The sequence below is a fragment of the Homo sapiens genome, chromosome 9 (assembly GCF_000001405.40).
Source record: "Homo sapiens chromosome 9, GRCh38.p14 Primary Assembly".
In the NCBI taxonomy this organism is placed as follows: Eukaryota; Metazoa; Chordata; class Mammalia; order Primates; family Hominidae; genus Homo; species Homo sapiens.
Genome location: NC_000009.12, coordinates 110279639 through 110300765, shown reverse-complemented (window position 1 = coordinate 110300765; position 21127 = coordinate 110279639). Strand labels below are relative to the sequence as shown.

General features: G+C 44.4%; 1 long non-coding RNA gene across 1 annotated transcript in view; it reads right to left on the bottom strand.

Annotated features, from left to right (window-relative positions):
* The window catches only part of LOC124902246 (uncharacterized), a 38529-nt gene that overhangs the window by 11670 nt on the left and 5732 nt on the right, over nt 1-21127 (bottom strand). The gene's annotated exons all lie outside the window — the stretch shown is intronic.

Sequence of the window (21127 nt, the reverse complement as noted above, 5' to 3'; positions counted from 1 at the left end):
GAACTTTCAAGGCTAATGCCTAAGTTTCTGAACCATAACTGCGATCTACCCAATTATTTGCACCATACTGTATCTAGATCATCTCTCTCTTTCTCTCTTTCTTTCTTTAGATCATCTCTCTGTCTCTCTCTTTTTTTTTTTTTTTTTTTGAGACAGGTTCTCACTCTGTTGCCCTGGCTGGAGTGCAGTGATGCGATCACAGCTCACTGCTGCAGTCTCCATCTCCCAGGCTCAAATGATCCTCCCACTTCAGCCTCCCAAGTACCTGAATCCACAGGTATGTGCCACCACGCCCAGGTAATTTTTGCATTTTTTGTAGAAATGGGGTTTCACGATGTCGCCCAGGCTGGTCTAGATCTCCTGGGCTCAAATGATCTGCCCGCCTCGGCCTCCCAACGTGCTGATGTTACAGGCATGAGCCACCACGCCTGGCCTGGGGCCTCTTTTTAACCTCCACAAAGAATACTGCAGTTCCGCCGGGCACAATGGCTCATGCCTGTAATCCCAGCACTTTGGGAGGCCAAGGCGGGTGGATCACGAGGTCAGGAGTTCAAGACCAGCCTGGCCAACATTGTGAAACCCCGTCTCTACTAAAAATACACAAATTAGCCAGGCGTGGTGGCAGGTGCCTGTAATCCCAGCTACTTGGGAGGCTGAGGCAGCAGAATTGCTTGAACCTGGGAGGCGGAGGTTGCAGTGAGCTGAGATCTAGCCACTGCACTCCAGCCTGGGCGACAGAGCAAGACTCTGTCTCGGGAAAAAAAAAAAAAAAAAAAAAAAAAAAAATATATATATATATATATATATATATATATATATATATTGCAGTTCTTCCATCAGAGCCCATGGGCCCTTTAAGCCAGCAGTGGGCTTTACTCCTAGTAAAGTGTAGTACCCTGCAGTATTCACTGAAGCAAGCCCGCCATCTTTCCTGACAGCCTCCTGATTTCTTCCATGTGCACCGAACAACTCAACAATATCTGCCCCAACCTCCTGGCTCCCAAGCACAGTTCTCTCACTTCTCAAAGTCTGCATTAATGACAAAATGCAAAGAAAAATATGTATCCAGATTTACTGCATCACTTCCTCCCAGTGAAGTTAAGAACATTACTTAACCACAACAAAGTATTTCATCTAGGACCAGGGATCGGGGCTCATGCCTGTAATCCCAGCACTTTGGGAGGCTGAGGCAGGAAGACTACTTGAGGCCAGGAGTTTGAGACCAGCCTGGGCAATGCAACAAGACCCCGTCTCTACAAAACCTAAAAATTAGCCAGGCATGGTAGCACACGCCTGTAGTCCCAGCTACTCAGGAGGCTGGGGTGGGTGGATGGCTTGAATCAAGGAGCTTGAGGCTGCAATGAGCCATGATCATGCCACTGCACTCCAGCCTGGGAAACAGAGTGAGAACCTCCTCTCAAAAAAAAAACAACAACCAGCCTGACCAACATGGTGAAACCCCGTCTCTACCAAAAATACAAAAAAAAAAAATTAGCTGGGCGTGGTAGCAGGTGCCTGTAATCCCAGCTACTTGGGAGGGTGAGGCAGGAGAATCGCTTGAAACCGGAAGGCAGAGGTTGCAGTGAGCCGAGATTGTGCCACTGCACTCCAGCCTGGGCAATAAGAGCAAAACTCCATCACCAAAAAAAAAAAAAAAAAAAAGAAAGAAAGAAAGAAAAAATTTACCTAGCTCTTGTATCTCCGATGAACACACTTTTAACATGCTAAGAAAGTTCTCACTTATCGTTAACATTTATTCACCTAGGATTTACAAATTCCAGTCTAAATTTAAAATCTTCCTCCCCAAACATTTATATTGGGCACACTCACCACTAGTCCTGGAAAAGTGTGAGGTGGGTCAAAACCCAAGTTGGGACCTTCCTCACTTTCACTACCTTCTCACCCAAGTTTTTTTCCTCATCCTAATCTGCTATCACCACCCAGCACACATTTTATGTCTTATCTCCCCAAAGCCTTTCTTGTTCTTACCAAAATCCATTTCTCCCACCATTCATTCACTCATTCATCCAACAGTCATTAATGGGGTGGTTTGATGCTAGCAGTAGGCCCATCCTAGGGATGCATAGAGCATGAATACTCTCCTTGAGATGCTCACACTTCAGCAAGAGAGACAGGCATGCGCAAACAAAGCTAAAGGAATTACAGTAAGAGATGCTCTAATCAATATTTATGCAAAGGCAAAGTGATGTAGAAAAACAGGTAAGAGTGATTGATTTGCCTGGAGGTTGGGCAGGGAATGGGATTGCATTTCAGTGGCTTCTGGGAAGAGCTGACAGTTAGGCTGGGCTTGAAGGCTGGGAGGAGTCTGTTAGATACCCAAGGGAAGAAAAGGCTGATAACACAGACAAAACAGTGATTTGAAAATGGAGGGCGGAGGGACAGTGGCAGAGTCTGCAGTGCTGGAATTTGGGGAAAATAGAAAAAAGCAGCTAATCTCAGTAGGCCCCCTAAAAGGCTTAGAGTGTCTCCTCCTTAGAGGCATTTGTTTGCATAGGAGCAAAGTTCAGCACAGTAACATTCAGTGTTAGAAAGCATGCTTGATTGGCCATCAGAAGACGAGTTCTCATCATAGTCTATCAGCAGCTTTGTTGTTTGAGGTATGTCAATCTCTCTGAGCTTGATTTTTCAACACTTAGGAAGAGAAGCTGGAGTAAGGTCTCTAAAAGGCCCACTCATAAATATATCTACAGGGCAGGCACAGTGGCTCATGCCCGTAGTCCCAGCACTTTGGGAGGCAAAGGCTGGTGGATGACTTGAGGTCAGGAGTTTGAGACCAGCCTGGTCAACATGGTGAAACCCCGACTCTGCTAAAATTACAAAATTTAGCTAGGTATGGTGGCACACGCCTGTAATCCCGGCTACTCTGGAGGTTGAAGTGGGAGAATCGCTTGAACCCAGGAGGTGGAGGCTACAGTGAGCTGAGATCATGCCACTGCACTCCAGCCTGGGTGACAGAGTGAGACGCTGTCTCCAAAGATGAAATTAAAAAATAAAAGGCGGGGCCCTGTGGCTCATGCCTGTAATCTCAGCACTTTGGGAGGCAGAGGCGGGTGGATCACGAGGTCAGGAGTTCAAGACCAGCCTGACCAACATGGTGAAACCCCCGTCTCTACTAAAAATACAAAAAAATTAGCCAGGTGTGGCGGCATGTGCCTGTAATCTCTGTAATCCCTGTAATCCCAGCTACTCAGAAGGCTGAGGCAGGAGAATTGCTTGAACCCGGGAGGCGGAAGTTGTAGTGAGCCGAGATCATGCCACTGCACTCCAGCATGAACACCAAGAATGTAACTCTGTCTCAAAATAAATAAATAAATAATAAAAATACATTTTCACTGTGGACCAACTTCTGGTACTATTTCAGAGGAGTAATGCTTGAGCTCAGAAAGAATGTTCTCTGTGCTGCTTTCCACAGCTTGTGGTGCTCCTATTCAGCCCCACACTTCACAGGAGCAGAGCACCCTCCAGGGTCTATTATGAGACCCCACATGTGGATTGTGAGAAAGCTCAGCATGAGATTCAAACCCCACTCCTGAGTAAGCACTATTGTGTGGTCCAGTTGTCTAGCTGTTGTCCAAAATCAGAGTTAGCCCACCTAAATCTGAAGTAGGTCCTGCCTGACACTGTCAAAGGAAAAAAAAAAAATTGCATAGGGCACTAGCGAACATACAGTGGTAGGCTAAGCTCATTTAGAAGTTGTCACCCAGATGCGGTGACTCATGCCTATAATCCCAGCACTTGAGGAGGCTGAGGTGGGAAGACTACTTGAGTCCAGGAGAATGAGACCAGCCTGGGCAACATAGTGAGACCCTGTCTCTACAAAAATTACAAAAATTAGCCAGGTGTGGTGGTGCACACCTGTAGTCCCAGCTACTCAGGAGGCTAATGCAGGAGGATCACCTAAGCCTGGGAGGTCAAGGCTGCAGTAAGCCATGACCGTGCCACTGCACTCTGGGTGACAGAGTAAGAGGCTGTCTCAAAAACAAAAAAAGAAAGAAAAAAGAATTGTGCTCAATAAGAGAAACTACTCTGTCTGGCGCAGTGGCTCACACCTGTAATCCCAACACTTTGGGAGGCTGAAGCGGGTGGATCACCTAAGGTCAGGAGTTCGAGACCCACCTTGCCAACATGGCAAAACCCTATCTCTACTAAAAATACAAAAATTAGCCAGGCGTGGTGGTGTAATCCCAGCTACTCAGGAGGCTGAGGAAGGAGAATTGTTTGAGCCCTGGAGGTGGAGGTTGCAGTGAGCCAAGATCGCACCACTGCACTCCAGCCTGGACAATAGAGCGAGTAAGGCTCTGAGAGAGAGAGAGAGAGAGAGAGAGAGAGAGAGAAAAGAAAGAAGAAACTACAACAGAGTTTGTAAAAGCCCATCTGAGGAGCAGAGTCACTTTTCACATTACACTTTTATGACTGAGTCCTAGTATCAGGCATCCTTTCCTCCAATGAGAAAGGGGAAGAACTGTTTCAGACAACATGCTTGGATAGAACTACTCATCTCCAGAAAAAACAGTGGACTAAGGCAGTTGGCCTTCTCCATGGGTTAATATTCTGAATAGCACTTTGGTCCAGAGTTGAAGGCCTTCCTGAAGCTAGCCCAGCTCAGAACTGTTGCCACCTGGGAAGTCTTGATTCTCGGTGTCTTCAGCAAGGGCAGAAGGTCCTCCTGAAGACACCTGAGCACTCTTAGGCAGTAGTGTTCTCAAGGCTCCCAAGCAACCCTGGGAAACTGAAACAAACAGACATGCATTTCCCATGTCTCTGGACCTTCATTTCCCATCTCTGGGCTATAGATTCAATGTCTATTAAGGTTCCGTGCAGAATAGTGTTCATTCTTCTTGTATGCATGCTATATGTCAAGCACTGTACCAAGCAATATACCTCAGACTCAATTTACATTGCTCATCTAAGTCTCACAATGACTGAAATTGATATTATCATGATTGCCACTTTATAGATGAGGAAACTAAGATTTAGAATTTGTCTAAGTTCTCCGCAGCTAGTAAGTGATGGAGTAGTCGTTTGAGATACTGCTACGATAGCACCATAATGTTACTCGTATATGTAGCCATCTACACGGGGTGATTCAAGAAGACTCAAAAATTTCTCTTTTCTCCAAAAGACCTCTTCAGTCTCTCTAGCCTCTCCTGATTCCTGTCTCTTGTAGAGGAGGAATGAGTTTTAACAGTTTAGTAGTTTTGCTTAAAGAATATAGAGCAAGTTTTTGAAGACACAGTATATGTAACAGGTCAGTTTTGATTAATTCATTTAGTCAGTAAACATTTATTTAACATCTATTATGTACCAGGCATGGATCAAAGTTCTTAGGATCTAACAGTGAAAAAAATAAACGAAGATCCTCTACCTTAAGGAGCTTATAGTCTAGCGAAAAAAGACAGAAAATAATAAATAAGAGCAGATTATAATAAAAGGTGACAAATCTTGCAAAACAAATGAAAACATAAGATGGGATAAAGAGGATCAGGAATGGGGGGGTGAAAGAGGCAGGTAAATAAGATGGCAGTTGGCCTCAGTGTGAAACCACCGTTGCAAAATTGTAACTGTGAAGATTATTACAGTGATATAGTGAAAGAGAGCTGACCTAACTCACTCCATCTTGCTTCTAACCTCCGAGCTGTCCTTGTTCATTCCTGGGCGTAGGCCAAACTAACTTTGGAAGAAACTTAATTTATAGTTTAACTTTGAAACAAAGACATAATATCCCTTTCCCAAAACAAACGCTTTTCCTGCCTGGGGACTAGTCTGCCTTTGCGGGACTAACAGTTAGCCAGAAGATTAGAAATTATGGTTTAGGAGTCATGAAGCTAGAGGCCACAAGATTCTGATCCTCCTCAAATTGCTCCTGGGGATAACATCACTATTGTAAAGCCTAACGTCAGTGCTTGAGATGTTTTGCAGTCCCTGCACTTGATGGATCAGCTGGCACCACCCAGATTGATAAAGTGGCTCATCTAGTCTTGTGGCCCCCACCCAGGAACTGACTAAATGCAAGAGGACAGTTTCGATTCTCTCTGATTTCATTTCCGACCCAACCATTCAGAACTCTCAACTCACTGACCCCTACCCACCAATATGTCCTTAAAAACCCCATGCCCCAATTGTTGGTGAGACTGATTTGAGTAATAATAAAACTCCCGTCCCCTGTACAGCTGGCTCTGTGTGAATTACACTCTTTATTGCAATTGTCCTGTCTTGATAAATCAGCTCTGTCTAGGCAGCGGGCAAGGAGAACCTGTTGGGCGGTTCCAAGTGCGAAGGTAAGACTTAAGCAAAGGTTTTGAGGAGGTAAGGAAATTAGCCAAACTCTGTGGAGAGAATAGGAATTGAAGCAAAAGGAGCAGCTGGAACAAAAACCCCAAGACAGAGCATGCCTGGTGTGTGTGAGAAAGCATATAACAGTGAAAAAAAAAATAAACAAACAAAGATCCTCTACCTTAAAGAGCTCTCAGTCTAATGAAAAAAGACAGAAAATAATAAGTAAAGAGTAGATTATAATAAAAGGTGACAAGGCGGCAGGTGACAAACGGCAAGGAGGGCTGGCTGAAGTAGGAATGAGGAAAAGAGTGCTGGGAGAGGTGGTCACAGAAGTATCTCAGAAGACTAGATCATATAGAGTTTTGCAGGACATCGTCAGGACTTTGCTTTTATTCTATGTCAGAATGGGGCTGGTGAAGTTTTGAGCAGAGGAGGGACAAAGGGAAAACCAGGAGGAGCCTGTTTCAGTAACTCAGGCAAGAATTAATGGAGCTGGCCAGGCACAGAGGCTCATGCCTGTAATCCCAGCACTTTGGGAGGCCGAGGCGGGTGGATCACTTGAGGTCAGGAGTTCGAGACCAGCATGGCCAACATAGTGAAACCCCCGTCTCTACTAAAAATACAAAATTAGCCAGGCGTGGTGACACACACCTGTAATCCCAGCTACCTGGGAGGCTGAGACGCTAGAATTGCTTGAACTTGGGCGACAGAGGTTTCAGTGAGCCAAAATGGTGCCACTGCACTCCAGTCTGGGCAACAGAGCAAGATCTGTCTCAACAGAAAAAAAAAAAAAAAAAAGAATGGACCTGAGACCAAGGTAGTAACAGCAGAGGGGGTGAGAAATGGATTTTTTATATGTATAAATAAATTGGGATTAAATTTCCTGATGGCTTGTATGAGGGGCCTGAGAGAAAGAAGAATAATACCAAAGATTTTCCTGAGCACTTTGAAGGGTGGAGTTGCCAACCACTCTGACAGAGATGGCTGAGGGTGGAGCTGGTTTCTAGGGAAAGATCAGGGTTCAGGTTTGGACATGTTAAGTTTGAGGCATCTACTAGGCATCCAAGTGCTGTCAGTGAATAGGCTGTAGAATATATACATCTGCAGTGCAGGAGAGAAGCCTGGGTTGGGGATATAAATTTTTATTTTATGTTTTTTTGAGACGGAGTCTTTCTCCATCACCCAGGCTGAAGTACAATGGCACAATCTCAGCTCACTGCAACCTCCACCTCCCAGGTTCTAGCGATTCTCCTGCTTCAGCCTCCCGAGTAGCTGGGATTCCAGACACACGCCACCACACTCGGATAATTTTTGTATTTTTAGTAGAGATGGAGTTTCACCACCTTGGCTAAGCTGGTCTCAAAACCCTGACCTCAAGTGATCCACCTGCCTCGGCATCCCAAAGTGCTGGGATTACAGGCGTAAGTCACCGTGCCCGGCCTGGGATATAAATTTCGAAGTAGTCAGCACATAAACCTTTTAAAATCACAAGCCTGAATATGACCTTCAAGGGAGTGCATATAGATTGAGATGAGGATGAAGGATCCTAGACACTTCCACATTATGAGGGTGAGAAGAAGAGAATAACTTACAAAGAAGACTGAGAATTCATGACAAGTGAGGTAGGAAGAAAACAGAGTATAGTGTCCCAGAAGCCAAGTAAAGAAAGCGTATAGAGGAAGAGGGAGTGATCAACTATACCAAACAATGGATCAAGTACAATGCAGAGTAAGAATTGACCATTAGCTTGAGCAACATAGAGGCCACTGGCAACAGTGGGGTGGGAAACTGATTAGTTGCCTCTGGAACTTGGGTTTTACTATTCAAGAGGACAAATGAAAAGGTACTGGTGGCCAATTAGGAGAGATGTATTTCCTAAAAGAATTACATTCCGAATAATTCCTAAAAGAGTTATTTCCTGTAGGTACCTGCTGGTTAGAAATTTGTCCCCTACGACCGACCGACCGGGCACCTGGTGGGAGGGACCGGGAGCCCGCACTGGGGAACTGCAGGACGCAGGCCCTCGGGCAGGAGCGTCTGGCAGAGCCGGGAGCGCGGCAGGCTCCCTCCTTTGCAGGACGAGGTGGGGCCTCTGCGGCCGTCCTGGACTGGCCGGGGTGGCGGCAGCTTTGCCCACGTGGAAGTGGGGCTGGGTCTCACTTGCCTGGTGGTGGTCTCTGGCTCCACCTTGCTTGCTGCAGCCCTGGGGAGCAGGCAGTGGATGGTTCTTCCGCCTATTTGCTGCTGGTTTCCCGGACAGTGCGTGGGCAGCCGGGGGCTGTGGGCAGGGCTGGAGTTTAGTCTAAGGTAATGTAACAATGTTGGTTTCTTAGTTTTGACAAACACAGCATGGTAACTTAAGATGCTAACATCAGGGCCGGGCACGGTGACTCACGCCTATAATCCCAGCACTTTGGGAGGCCAAAGTAGGTGGATCGCCTGAGCTAAGGAGTTCAGCACCAGCCTGGGCAACATGGCAAAACCCCATCTCTACAAAAATGTACAAAAACTAGCGAAGTGTGGCGGCATGCACATGTAGTCCCAGCTACTCAGGAGGCTGAGGCGGGAGGATTGCTTGAGACTAGGAGGTCGAGGCTGCAATGAGCTGAGATCATGCCACTGCACTCCAGCCTGGGCAACAGAGCAAGACCCTGCCTCAAGAAACAAAAAATGTTAATATCAAGAGACTGAGTGAGGAATACACAGGTACTCTCTACCATCTCTGCAACTTTTTAAAAATAAATCCAGGCCAGCGCAGTGGCTCACGCCTGTAATCCCAACACTTTGGGAGGCTGAGGTGGGTGTATCACCTGAGGTCAGGAGTTCAAGAGCAGCCTGGCCAACATGGTGAAACCCCATGTCTACTAAAAAAAAAAATACAAAAAAAAAAAAAAATTTTGGGCGTGGTGGCAAGTGCCTTTAGTCCCAGCTACTCAGGAGGCTGAAGTAGGAGAATCACTTGAACCTGGGAGGCAGAGGCTGCAGTGAGCTGAGGTCACACCACTGCACTCCAGCATAGGCAATAGAGCAGGACTCTGTCTCAAAAATAAATAAATACATAAATTTTTTAAAAATCCAAAATAAAGTCCATTTTTTAAAAAAATGCATTTGTAAGGAGATGTGCTATGAAGGAGAAGCGCTCGTGCTTTGTGAGCATGTCCTAAGGAAAGGAAATTTGAACTTGCCAGGAGTCAGAGATGGCTTCCTGATGAAATAACTGTAGACCTGAGACCTTAAGAATGAGGGGGCATTTTTGAAAACCGCAGTTCTCAAAGTCAAACAAACTCATACTTAGACATTACAAGAGTATTTTGGCCATACACAGTGGTTTGAGTCTGTAGTCCCAGCTACTCAGGAGGCTAAGGAGGGAGGATTGCTTGAGGCCAGGAGTTCAAGGCACTACAATTGCGTCTGTGAATAGCCACTACACTCAAGCCTGGGTGACATAGCAAGACCCATCTCTTCAAACACACACACACACAAACAAGCATTTTGCTTCCGAGAAAGTTTTTCAAGTAAAGATCATAAGTATTATTGCTGATGCATTGCACATTTTCAGCCCAGACCTCTGCCTAGTGAGGCAGATGGAAATCTTCAGTGGGTGAGGAGACTGTGCACTGCTTTTGAGGCCATTTCTCTTTCCCACAAACCTGATGTTGCCAGAGACAGGACTGGAAAACTCTACAGCCTGTAATTTTTAAATATTTGGGCCCAGATGTGATGCGTTCATTAAGTAGGACAAATGAAGTGTGTTCTTCACTCCACCAAAGCAGCCTATCCCCATGCATGCCATTCTTCCAAGCCCAGGTGATATGGGAGTGAGAAGCAGACAGAAGTGGGGCAGACAAGATTTCCACGCCAAGGATGGAAGCCTGGAGCTAGCTTGCTCTAGATAGTCTGGCTGCTGAAGGGCAAAGAATATGACCAAGGAGGTGTGGACTAAAACAAGGTCCCTGGACCTAGAGCAGCACTCGTATTAGTAAAAGCGACTGAATATGCCTGGCACCTTGGCTCAGGCCCCACCATTCCAGAGCACAGGCCACTGTAATGAGGATGGCTGGAAAATCATTATATAGCCAGTGACAATAGAAAGGCCAAATTATGTGCATGAAGGTTTAATGTCAACGTGTAGTATGTGCAAGTTAGACAAATGAAAGTCAAAGACCACCTGTAAACCCAAGCCAACACTCACAAGTCACAGGCCCTCTGGAAAGAGCAGCTGTGAAAATGTCTTTAGAGAAGAACAGGATGGAGAATGAATTTCATGCCCACATGTGGCAGATGTCACATGGAATCACTCTGGCAGCTCAGGCATTTTATGTTCTGTAGCATCTCTCTACATGTTGGAGCAGGCAGATGTTCAGTTTTCTTCACTATTCTTTCAGTTCTGCCTTACATTGGAACAATAAAACAAGCCATATGTCAGAATCCAAGAGAATTCTCTGGAAACCAAAGGCTTCTCCATCTCACTTTCAGCAGCCAAAGTCTCGATGTGACTTCACTTGCTTACAAGTAGAAGGATCCATGCTTTTATAATGGCCTTTCTATTGTTATAGGAAAAGAGAGAGGTGACTTAATTTTTGCCTGTTGTCTAATGAAGAGCCATGCATTTTTACCAGTGCAATTTTTGTTTATCAAACACTAACAGTGTTTCCAGCTGAAACATGACCCAGTAATGGCTGATCAAATGCAATCAGTGGGTCAGCATTTTCTTAAACTCAAACAAACAAACAAACAAACAAAATCTGAGGCCATGTGCGGTGGCTCACACCTGTAATCCCAGCACTTTGGGAGGCTGAGGCAGGCGGATCATTTGAGCCGAGGTCAAGACCAGCCTGAGAAACATGGCAAAACCCTGTCTCTACTAAAAATACAAAAAAAAAAAAAAAAAAATTAGCCAGGCATGGTGGCGCAAGCCTGTAGTTCCAGATACTCAGGAAGCTGAGGTGAAAGAATTGCTTCAGCCTAGGAGGCAGAGGTTGAAGTGAGCAGAGGTTGTGTCACTGCACTCCAGCCTGGGTGACAGAGTGATACCTTGTCTAAAAAAAAAACAAACAAAAAAATCAGAGTGCATCTACTATAATAATGTGGGTTCTGGTAGTCAAGTTTGAAAGTCATTGTGGTAGGGGCCTCATCTTCATTGGGATGACCTAGTTCAGGGATTCTCAAAGTGAAGGTCTGGGACTGGGAGTGTTAGCATCACTTGGGAATATGTTAGAAATGCACACTTCAGACCCCACTCCAGATGCCCCTAATCAGAAGCTGTTAGAGGTGGAGGCAGAGGACACATGCAAGGAAAATGGAGATGATTCTGATACACACTCGCTTTTGAGCAACCCTGGTGAAGTACACCAAAGGACTTATTAAAAATATCAATGAGGCATTAAAACAAAAGAGTAAAGACAAAAACAAGTTGCAACCCTTTGATAAACAATGAGGCTCAAGAATCCCAAATAAATAGCCAGAAGAACAACTACAAAAACTCTTACAGGGGTAAGTAAGTTTTCTTTAATAGAGTTGCATCTTACACAAGGCTAGGATCTAAAGATAGAGGGTAAGAAAAAAGTAACATCAGTCAAGATCCTCCATAAAGTACAGTCAGTCCTTTGTCCCAGTAAGGTCATTTTTGCTCTTCTGCACTGAAACCCATCATCATTTCCTTGATGGAGGGCCAGATGGAGTAGTTGGCTTGTGTCTAGGGCCGTATTGTTCCACAAATATTAATTGAAAATACTAGAATCCGTTCTGTGCAGTGAGATGGTACCCACCTGGGCAAACAAACTAATTTCCCAGTATGTGTGTGTGGCTGGGAGTAGGAGGTGTTTATATTATTTTCTCTCTCTTCGTATAGTTGAAGTCACCACAAGTTACCTTTGCAGCAGATGCAATTCCAGTTATCCACCATTTACTTAGTAACTTTTCCTTCCCCAAAAGGGATGCGCACACACACACACACACACACACACAATTTCATTTACTCTTTGCACAACGCTGTAAGATCAGTAATACTTTTTTGGTTTTTGGGGGGGGCTTTTTTGAGACAGAGTCTCACTCCGTTGCCCAGGCTGGAGTACAGTGGTGCTCGCTGCAACCTTTGCCTCTGGTGCTGAAGCAATCCTCCCACCTCAGCCTCCTGGGTGGCTGGGACTACAGGCATGTACCTGTATTAGCCACCACATCTAGTTAATTTTTTGTATTTTTAGTAGAGATGGGGTTTCAGCATGTTGACCAGGCCCTGGCTGAAGCAATCCTCCCACCTCAGCCTCCCGAGTAGCTGGGACTACAGGCATGCAACGCCATGTCTGGGTAATATTTTTATCTTTTTAGTAGAGATGGGGCTTTGCCATGTTGTCCAGGCTGGTCTTGAACTCCAGAGATCAGTAATACCTTTCTTATTGTACAGACACGAAGTTTAAAGGTTGAGGTAGCTTGTCCAAGGTCACACAACCAGCAAATGGTTGAGTGTAGATGTGAACCCAGGTATGCTAGAGAAAATTAAAAGCATGGTACACTAATATGACAAAGATTCCCTCAAAGCAAAGAAAATTTACTGCCTCAGTCGATCCTTTTATTGGTGTCACCCTTGGGCCCATGTGCCCTAGGATACAGGAAATGGATTTCAGAGAAATTGCCTTGGCTAGCATATTCCCCTCTCCCAGGAGTGTTCCCGAAAATCTGTGTGTGCCACTGATAGCTTTTTAATATACTATGTGTGCTCACTCTTAAAAAAAAAAAATCCTGAGCCTGTCTTCTTGCCATTGTTGTTGTTCACATTAGGCGTCCTCTTAAAAGGAAGCATTAATTTTATTATTCCTCATTGGGGCTTTACAGAAGAGACTGGCCAGGCACGGTGGCTCATGCCTGTCATCCCAGTACTGTGGGAGGCCAAGGTGGATGGATCACTTGAGCCCAGGAGTTCAAGACCAGTTTCGGCAACATAGTGAGACCTCATCTCTACAAAAAATACAAAGATGAGCTGGGTGTCGTGGCATGTGCCTGTAATTCCAACTACTTGGGAGGCTGAGGCGGAAGGATCGCTTGAGCCAGGAGGTAGAGGTTGCAGTGAGCCGTGATTGTGCCACTGCACTCCAGCCTGGGTGACAGTTGTGAAATCCTGTCTCAAAATAATAATAATAATAATAATAATAATAATAATAATAAAAACTTTTAAAAAAGAAAAGACTGGATGGGGATGAGAGGGCAGAGAAGAGCAGCCAAGGAAAGAAGGCTGCATTTAAGCAATATACGGTACAGTATTATAAAGCCACTGCTCCCCTGGGGCGATCCTTATTCCTTCTTACTAAAGAAGGTGGGGCTTTTCTCCAGAAAATTCCATCAACCCTGGAAAGATCAGATGGCAATTTACCATGAGGTAAGAATGCAACCTCTGCCAGAATTCCTTAGCCCTTAACTTTTCAAGCTTTAGTCATCAGCAAGTCACCTTTATCATCATTTACTTCACCTATTCACTTTTTGTATATGAATAGATTTTACAATGAAAGCTTTTATCACCACGCCTTAAAGAGAAAATGAGTGTTGCTCTCAGAAGTGGAAGAAAACTTCAAACATGAGTGCACTGAAAACAAAATGACTTTTTTTTCAATTCTAACTTGATATGTGGCTTGTCAAAGACTCAAAACGTGAGTGTTCATTCTCTCTCTTTTCTTCCCTCTCTTCTTCCCTGTCTCTTTCTTTCCCTCCCCCACCCTCTTCAGCAGGATGAGCAATTATCAGAGAGATGTTAAAGATACAACAGCACCAACTAAGACTTTCTTCTTGAGTAATCAATCAGTATTGAAAAATGATTGATTTTTTTCTTTTTTTTTTTTTTTGAGACGGAGTCTCACTCTGTCACCCAGGCTGGAGTGTGGTGGCATGATCTCCGCTCACTGCAACCTCAGCCTCCCTGGCTCAAGCAATTCTCCTGCCTCAGCCTCCTGAGTAGCTTGGGATTACAGGTACGCACCACCACGCCCAGATAATTTTTTGTATTTTTAGCAGAGACAGGTTCACCATGTTGGCCAGGGTGGTCTCGAACTCCTGACTTCAGGTGATCCTCCCGCCTCAGCCTCCCGAACTGCTAGGATTACAGGCACGAACCACTGTGCCTGGCTTTTTTTTTTTTTTTTTTTTTTGGAGACAGTCTTGCTCTGTCACCCCGGCTGGAGTGCAGTGGCATGATCTCAGCTCACTGAACTTTCTTCTGCCTCTGGGGTCCCAGCGATTCTAGTGCCTCAGCTACCCATGTAGCTGGCATTACAGGCACGCGCCACCAAGTCCGGCCTTGGAAGAGAATGAAAAGGATTCAAGAGGGGTCTATATGAGAACTCTCTTTACTTTCTCCTCAATTTTTCTGCAAACCTAAGACTTTTCTAAAAATTAAAGTCTTAATTTTTAAAAAGTGTACACATAGAAATAAAATTAAGACTTTTAATTTTTTTTAATAAATTAATCTTCTCCCTGGGTAAATCAAGGTTATTTAATTCTGCATTCCCCAGACTACCCTAAATCACCAGAATTTACCTGAAATTACCTCCAACAGTAACAACAGTCCATGGCCCACATTTTGTGAACTCTGCTAAGCTGAAGTTTGAAGAAATAAAATAAAAATAAAAATAAGAGGCCAAGCGCAGTGGCTCATGCCTGTAATCTCAGCACTTTGGGAGGCCGAGGCAGGCGGATCACCTAATGTCAGGAGTTCAAGACCAGCCTGGCCAACATAGTGAAACCCCGTCTCTGCTAAAAATACAAAAATTAGCTGGGCGTGGTGGCAAATGCCTGTAATCCCAGCTCCTTGGGAGGCTGAGGCAGGAGAATTGCTTGAACCTGGGAGGCGGAGGTTGCAGTGAGCTGAGATTGTGCCATTGCACTCCAGCCTGGGCAGCAAGAGCAAAATTGAAAGAAAGAAAAGAAAAGAAAAAAGAAAAGAGAAGAGAAGAGAAGAGAAAAGAGAAGAGAAAAAAGAAAAGAAAAGGTGTTGTTTGGATGGTTTCCTATTGATGGCAGAAAGAAATTTTGAATGGTTCACCTTCCTGCCAAATCCCTTCATGACCTGGCACTCACATTCATTTTTTCCCTCCTCCCATTGCCCACACACCCCAGGCATTATTTCCAAACTCTACGGTCTTCCCTGTGTCTGAAACTTTCTTCCCCCATCTCTGCCTGTCAGATCTTTTTTTTTTTTTACAGTTTACTTTTGTTTTTTTAATTTTATTATTATTATACTTAAAGTTTTAGGGTACATGTGCACAACGTGCAGGTTTGTTACATATGTATACGTGTGCCATGTTGGTGTGCTGCACCCAGTAACTCGTCATTTAACATTAGGTATATCTCCTAATGCTATCCCTCCCACCTCCCCCCACCCCACAACAGTCCCTGGTGTGTGATGTTCCCCTTCCTGTGTCCATGTGTTCTCATTGTTCAATTCCCACCTATGAGTGAGAACATGCAGTGTTTGGTTTTTTGTCTTTGCAATAGTTTGCTGAGAATGATGGTTTCCAGTTTCATCCATGTCCCTACAAAGGACATGAACTCATCATTTTTTATGGCTGCATAGTATTCCATGGTGTATATGTGCCACATTTTCTTAATCCAGTCTATCGTTGTTGGACATTTAGGTTGGTTCCAAGTCTTTGCTATTGTGAATAGTGCTGCTATAAACATACCTGTTAATCATCCTTCAAGATCACCCAGCAAGTTGATAATTCCTACTAGCCAGCCCACGCAGTGCTATGAAGCCTAAGCTGGCACTTCCAGGCAGGGAAAAGTGTTCCTTCCCTTCAGTAGCTACAGAGACATGTACACACCCTTGACAGCAGCCATCTTTTTGTCAGGTGTGGTGGATTTTTATGACTGCCCAGAGTTGCCAGATAAAATACATGGTGCCTAGTTACATTTGAATTTCAGTTAAACAAGAGATAATTTTTTACTACGTCTTGTGTAATAATTACCTGAGTGTCCTGTATTTTTTTACTTGCTAAATCTGGCAGTGCTATGCCTTTCTTCAGTGAGATTCAGCTTCCTAAAGACAAAGACTGTGGCGTTCCAGCTTTGTGTGTGCGGTACCTAGGACATTACCAGGGACTTAGTGAAGGTTTGGTTATGAATCATTGCATGAATGACTGCACCGAACTCACCTACGAGATAACATAGCATTTCAACTAAGATCATGAGTACAGTTCTATTTCTACCTAGAAATGCAGGTTTGGAAGGGGGAAAGATCATGTGTTCAAATATAATACACTCATAATCTATAGACTGGTCCTGAAGGAAGGAGCAAAGGCATCTGTATTATTCTCTATCTTGTCTTTAACACATAGAATAACAACTCACATACTGCATGGTTTCCCTATAATTTATGAGTCTGCAATCTGCTCCCACACAGATTGCATTATGAAGGTGAGAACTTACACTCAGTCCAAAGCCAGGCAGAATAAATAGCAACAGCAGCCAAGAGCGAATCTACTCCATGTTGAGACTTGTTCTGTCTCTATTAATCAGGCTGATAATTAATCACTGTGTTTGGGTTTAAAGTTTTCCTGTGAGGGCAGAGTGCAGTAACAGAAGAGTCAATCACAGGCTCTGAAGTTGGACAGACCTAGGTTTGCAGTTATGACTCAGCTACTGCCAAGCTAAAGACCTCTCTGGGGCTCAGCTTTCTTACCTGTAAACCAGGTTATAATGGCTACCTCCAAGAGGTCACTTTGAGTATTAAATGAGGTAAGGTGCATGAAGTGTTTTGTAGGGTCCCTGCCCATAGCAGGTGTTCAAGAGTGGTAATGATGATGGTGATGAGGATGATTGTATTTTCATTTCTACTTTTCCAGCTAGATTTACAATCTCCTTTAACATATTAACTGCTTTATTTGTTTTTTACTTCCTTTTGTTTTTTGAGAAAGGATCTCCCTCTGTTTCCCAGGTTGGAGTGCCTCGGTGTGATCATAGCTCACTGCAGCCTCCACTTCCTGGGTTCAAACAATCATTTCACCTCAGCCTCCTGGGTGGCTGGGACATGCCACCATGCCTGGCTAATTTTTTTATCTTTTCTAAAGATGGGGTCTGACCATGTTGACCAGGCTGGTCTTGAATTCCTGGGCCCAACTGCTCCTCCTGCCTTGGCCTCCCAAAGTGCTGGGATTACAGGCATGAGCCACTGTGCCCAGCCCTTTACTTCTTTTATATTCCCCAGAAACCTCTAGCGTAAAACACAACGAAGAGTAGTTATCCTGTATACATCCAAAAAGACCAAAGTTTAGAAAATTCTCAGCGTTCCGCCTGCCTCAGCCTCCCAAAGTGCTGGGATTATAGGCGTGAGCCACCGGACCACTTGAGGTCAGGAGTTCGAGATCAGCCTGACCAACATGGTGAAACCTTGTCTCTTCTAAAAATACAAAAATTAGCCAGGCATGGTGGCACGCGCCTGTAATCCCAGCTACTTGGAATGCTGAGGAAGGAGAATTGCTCAAACCCAGGAGGCAAAGGTTGCAATGAGCCGAGATGGTGCCACTGCACTCCAGCCTAGACAACAAAGCAAAACTCCGTCTCAAAAACAAACAAACAAAAAATTCTCAGTGTTTTAGTGCCTTTCATAAAGCTGACAATATTTAACCACCGTAGAGTAAGGTATGAACAAAAATTAACCTTTGTAGGTGACGAGTGGACTGCAAATTGTCTTCCCTAAATCACTGATAGACTGAGTTTGGGCAGATAAGAGACATGAAAGAAATAAAGAAGTAGGCATTTCTTAAAATAGAGAAGGACGATTTTGGCATAAAAACTCCTCTTCCCACATTTCCCACCAAGACATTCTATTGGATACACGCCCTAACCACAGGCACCAACTATTGCTAACACATCTCAAAATAGATGGTGGTTGCCCAGCCATTCAAGAAAAGAGTTCAAAGTGATTGACAGTCTACTCTGGACAAACGAACACTCACCATGGAGAAGCTAGTCTCCAGTTTTAGTCCTTATTCGTTCCTAGCTTAATTTAACTGCAGCTATCATTTCATTTGTTTTTCCATAATAAAATAACTTAACCCTAGCAAAGTCCTCATTGGCACCTGCCAATGTCACCCCTGCCCCAAAGCCTCTTCTTGGAACTCTGTGGCTTTGGACAGTTTACTTTGTCTGTAAGGTAAATTTTTAACTGAGCCAGCTTCTCCCCAGTGCTAAGTGTAAGTCTAGGAAAGACTACAGTGGTCTATTTTTTTCTAGCCATTTTAGCACCCATTCTAGGTCAGCTTCTATGTGTACTCAAGCTGATGAAACTAAGAAGGATCCAAAGGTTGAGGTTTGGCTCTCATTAGCCAGAAAATCCACTGACATCTTCCTTTTCACAAGACTTGGAAACTGAAAGGAACTTGACAGCTGGAAGACATTCAGTAATTGTTGGTTGTGCCATTGCTGTTGTGCTGGTTATCACTGCCATGGGGAAAATGAATGTATCAGAATTATTCCATCCTTGTCTCTGTCTTTGATTGGGCCTAGCAATGCCATCTACCCTGCCACTCTCTCTATTTGGTGAAGAGAAAACTAAGACACAGGAAGGGAGAGGAAAAGAAGATTAGCTAAGAGTAATGGCCTGGATTGTTCTATATGCAAAGTGAGAGTGCAGAATAAGAGCTTCCCAACTTTTCTCTACTGTTTGCTTATTCGATCACCCTGTGTATGTAGTTTGTATGAGGAGCTTAGTCATCTTACATAATTTAAAGGGGTCCACATGCCTTAAATTATATGAATAGTTACTCATTTCCCTATGATAAACACTGTTGGTTCCCAGTGGTCTTTAAAATGCAAACATCCTACGTGTACCATAAATCTCTAACACTTTTTAAAGTTAAGTTCCTTTAGAAAAAAAGAAAGAAAGAAATATCTGGAAAACAATTTAAAGTTGGAGATCAAATGGAAGAAAGGTAGTAGTGAAGTGGGGACAGAAAAGGATGCTGAGAGGGTGGTAGTGAGGCAGGGACAGAGAAGATACTCTCCACCGACTTTATAGTTTCACCTCTGAGCTACCCCCTGGAAGTGAGAAGTCAGTGGATTCCATTGGGAGCCAAATCTGCCACATACAGATCAAAAAAGCTCTGTACCTGTGGCAACTCTGGCTTCTCACAGCATCTGATTGCCCTGTTCTCAGGAGAACTGGAAGAAACAGCCCTGAGTCTACTCTAGGGATATTACTGAGAACATTGCAAATCACACCACATCAGAACAAATTTATCCTGGTTTCAGCAAGAGGAATTCTTCTTCTTCAGAGTAGCTGGTTTTTACTTCGTGGACACTATGAACCATGAAGCTGAGCACAATTCTCATAGTGGATGCTGAAATGTTCCCTAAATCCCCAGTACCAAGTAGAAAGTCTCAACCACTGCTTACTGTGGCTATTGGCTGCTAATGGCTCTTAGCTGCCCCACTTCTCCCAAGAATGACCCTTGTCTGATGGGAGTGCTTTGTCTAAAAGGTTATGACGCTTCCAAAGGCATCCATAGTCAATGACTCATTTTGGGGTACAAAAGGCCCCCATTCCTTTCAGGATGGAGACTACAATCTTTAACATGGCTACAGGGCCATATGTGATCTCATCTCCATCTACTTCTCTACCTTCATCTCATAACCCTCTGACCCCCACCTACACACACACACACACACACACACACACACACACACACACACACACCCGCATGCACATGCACACACAGAGACATGCCACGCTGGCTTCCTTCCAATATGGAAAGTTGATAAGTTTGGTTGGGCATGGTGGCTCATGCCTGTAATCCTAGCACTTTGGGAGGCAGAGGTGGGAGGATTGCTTGAGGCCAGGAATTCAAGACCAACCTGGCCAACATAGTGAGACCCTGTCTCTATTTTTTTAAATTGAATAAATAAAAGAAAGGCAATAAGTTCTTTCCTACCACAGGGTCTTTTTTACATGCTGTTTCCTCCTTCTGCTATGCTTCTCCCTGTACCCTATTTGCCTATTTACCTTTAGCCCAAAGGACTCTCCCTCCAGGAAGCCTTCCATGATTCCTCAGGTTATAAAAGGGCCCCTCGCTTTTACATTTTAACAGCATGATGTAGCTCTCCTGCCACTTACTGCACATTTGCAACTTGACATTTACTCCTGGGTTTTTTGTTTGTTTGTTTTGTTTTTTTTCTGAGACAGAGTCTCATTCTGTCACCCAGGCTTGAGTGCAGTGCTGTGATCTTGGCTCACTGCAACCTCCACCTCCCGGGTTCAAGCTATTCTTGTGCCTCAGCCTCCCGAGTAGCTGGGATTACAGGTGCGCACCACCACGCCCAGCTAATTTTTTTGTATTTTAGTACAGATGGGGTTTCACCATGTTGCCCATGGTGGTCTAGAACGCCTGAGCTCAGGCAATCTGCCCACCTCAGCATTCCAAAGTGCTAGGATTACAGGTGTGAGTCACCGTGCCTGGCTCTCCTGTTGTTATTTGATTAAGACCTATTCCTTTTTATTAAGCTATGTACTCCACAAGGCTTTAATTTCTTTCACGCCACTGTGCCTGTCCCCAAATATATGCCAATATCGGGCACATGGTGGGCACGCAATGAATACTGATTCACTAAGTAAGTAAATCAGGCTGTGGTAACCTCCCTCAGCCAGCTGCATTTATACTGACAGGCAGCATAGTACAATAGTTAACTGAGTACGTGAACTCTGAAACCATGCAGTTCAGGATTAGGTCCTGGATCTGCCATCTCAAACTGTGAAGTTTGGGGCAAGTTAATTCACATTATTGTGGCTCAGCTTCCTCCTCTGTAAAATGAGGTAATAGTTCTGTATTTCATTGAATCTAGGATGCCT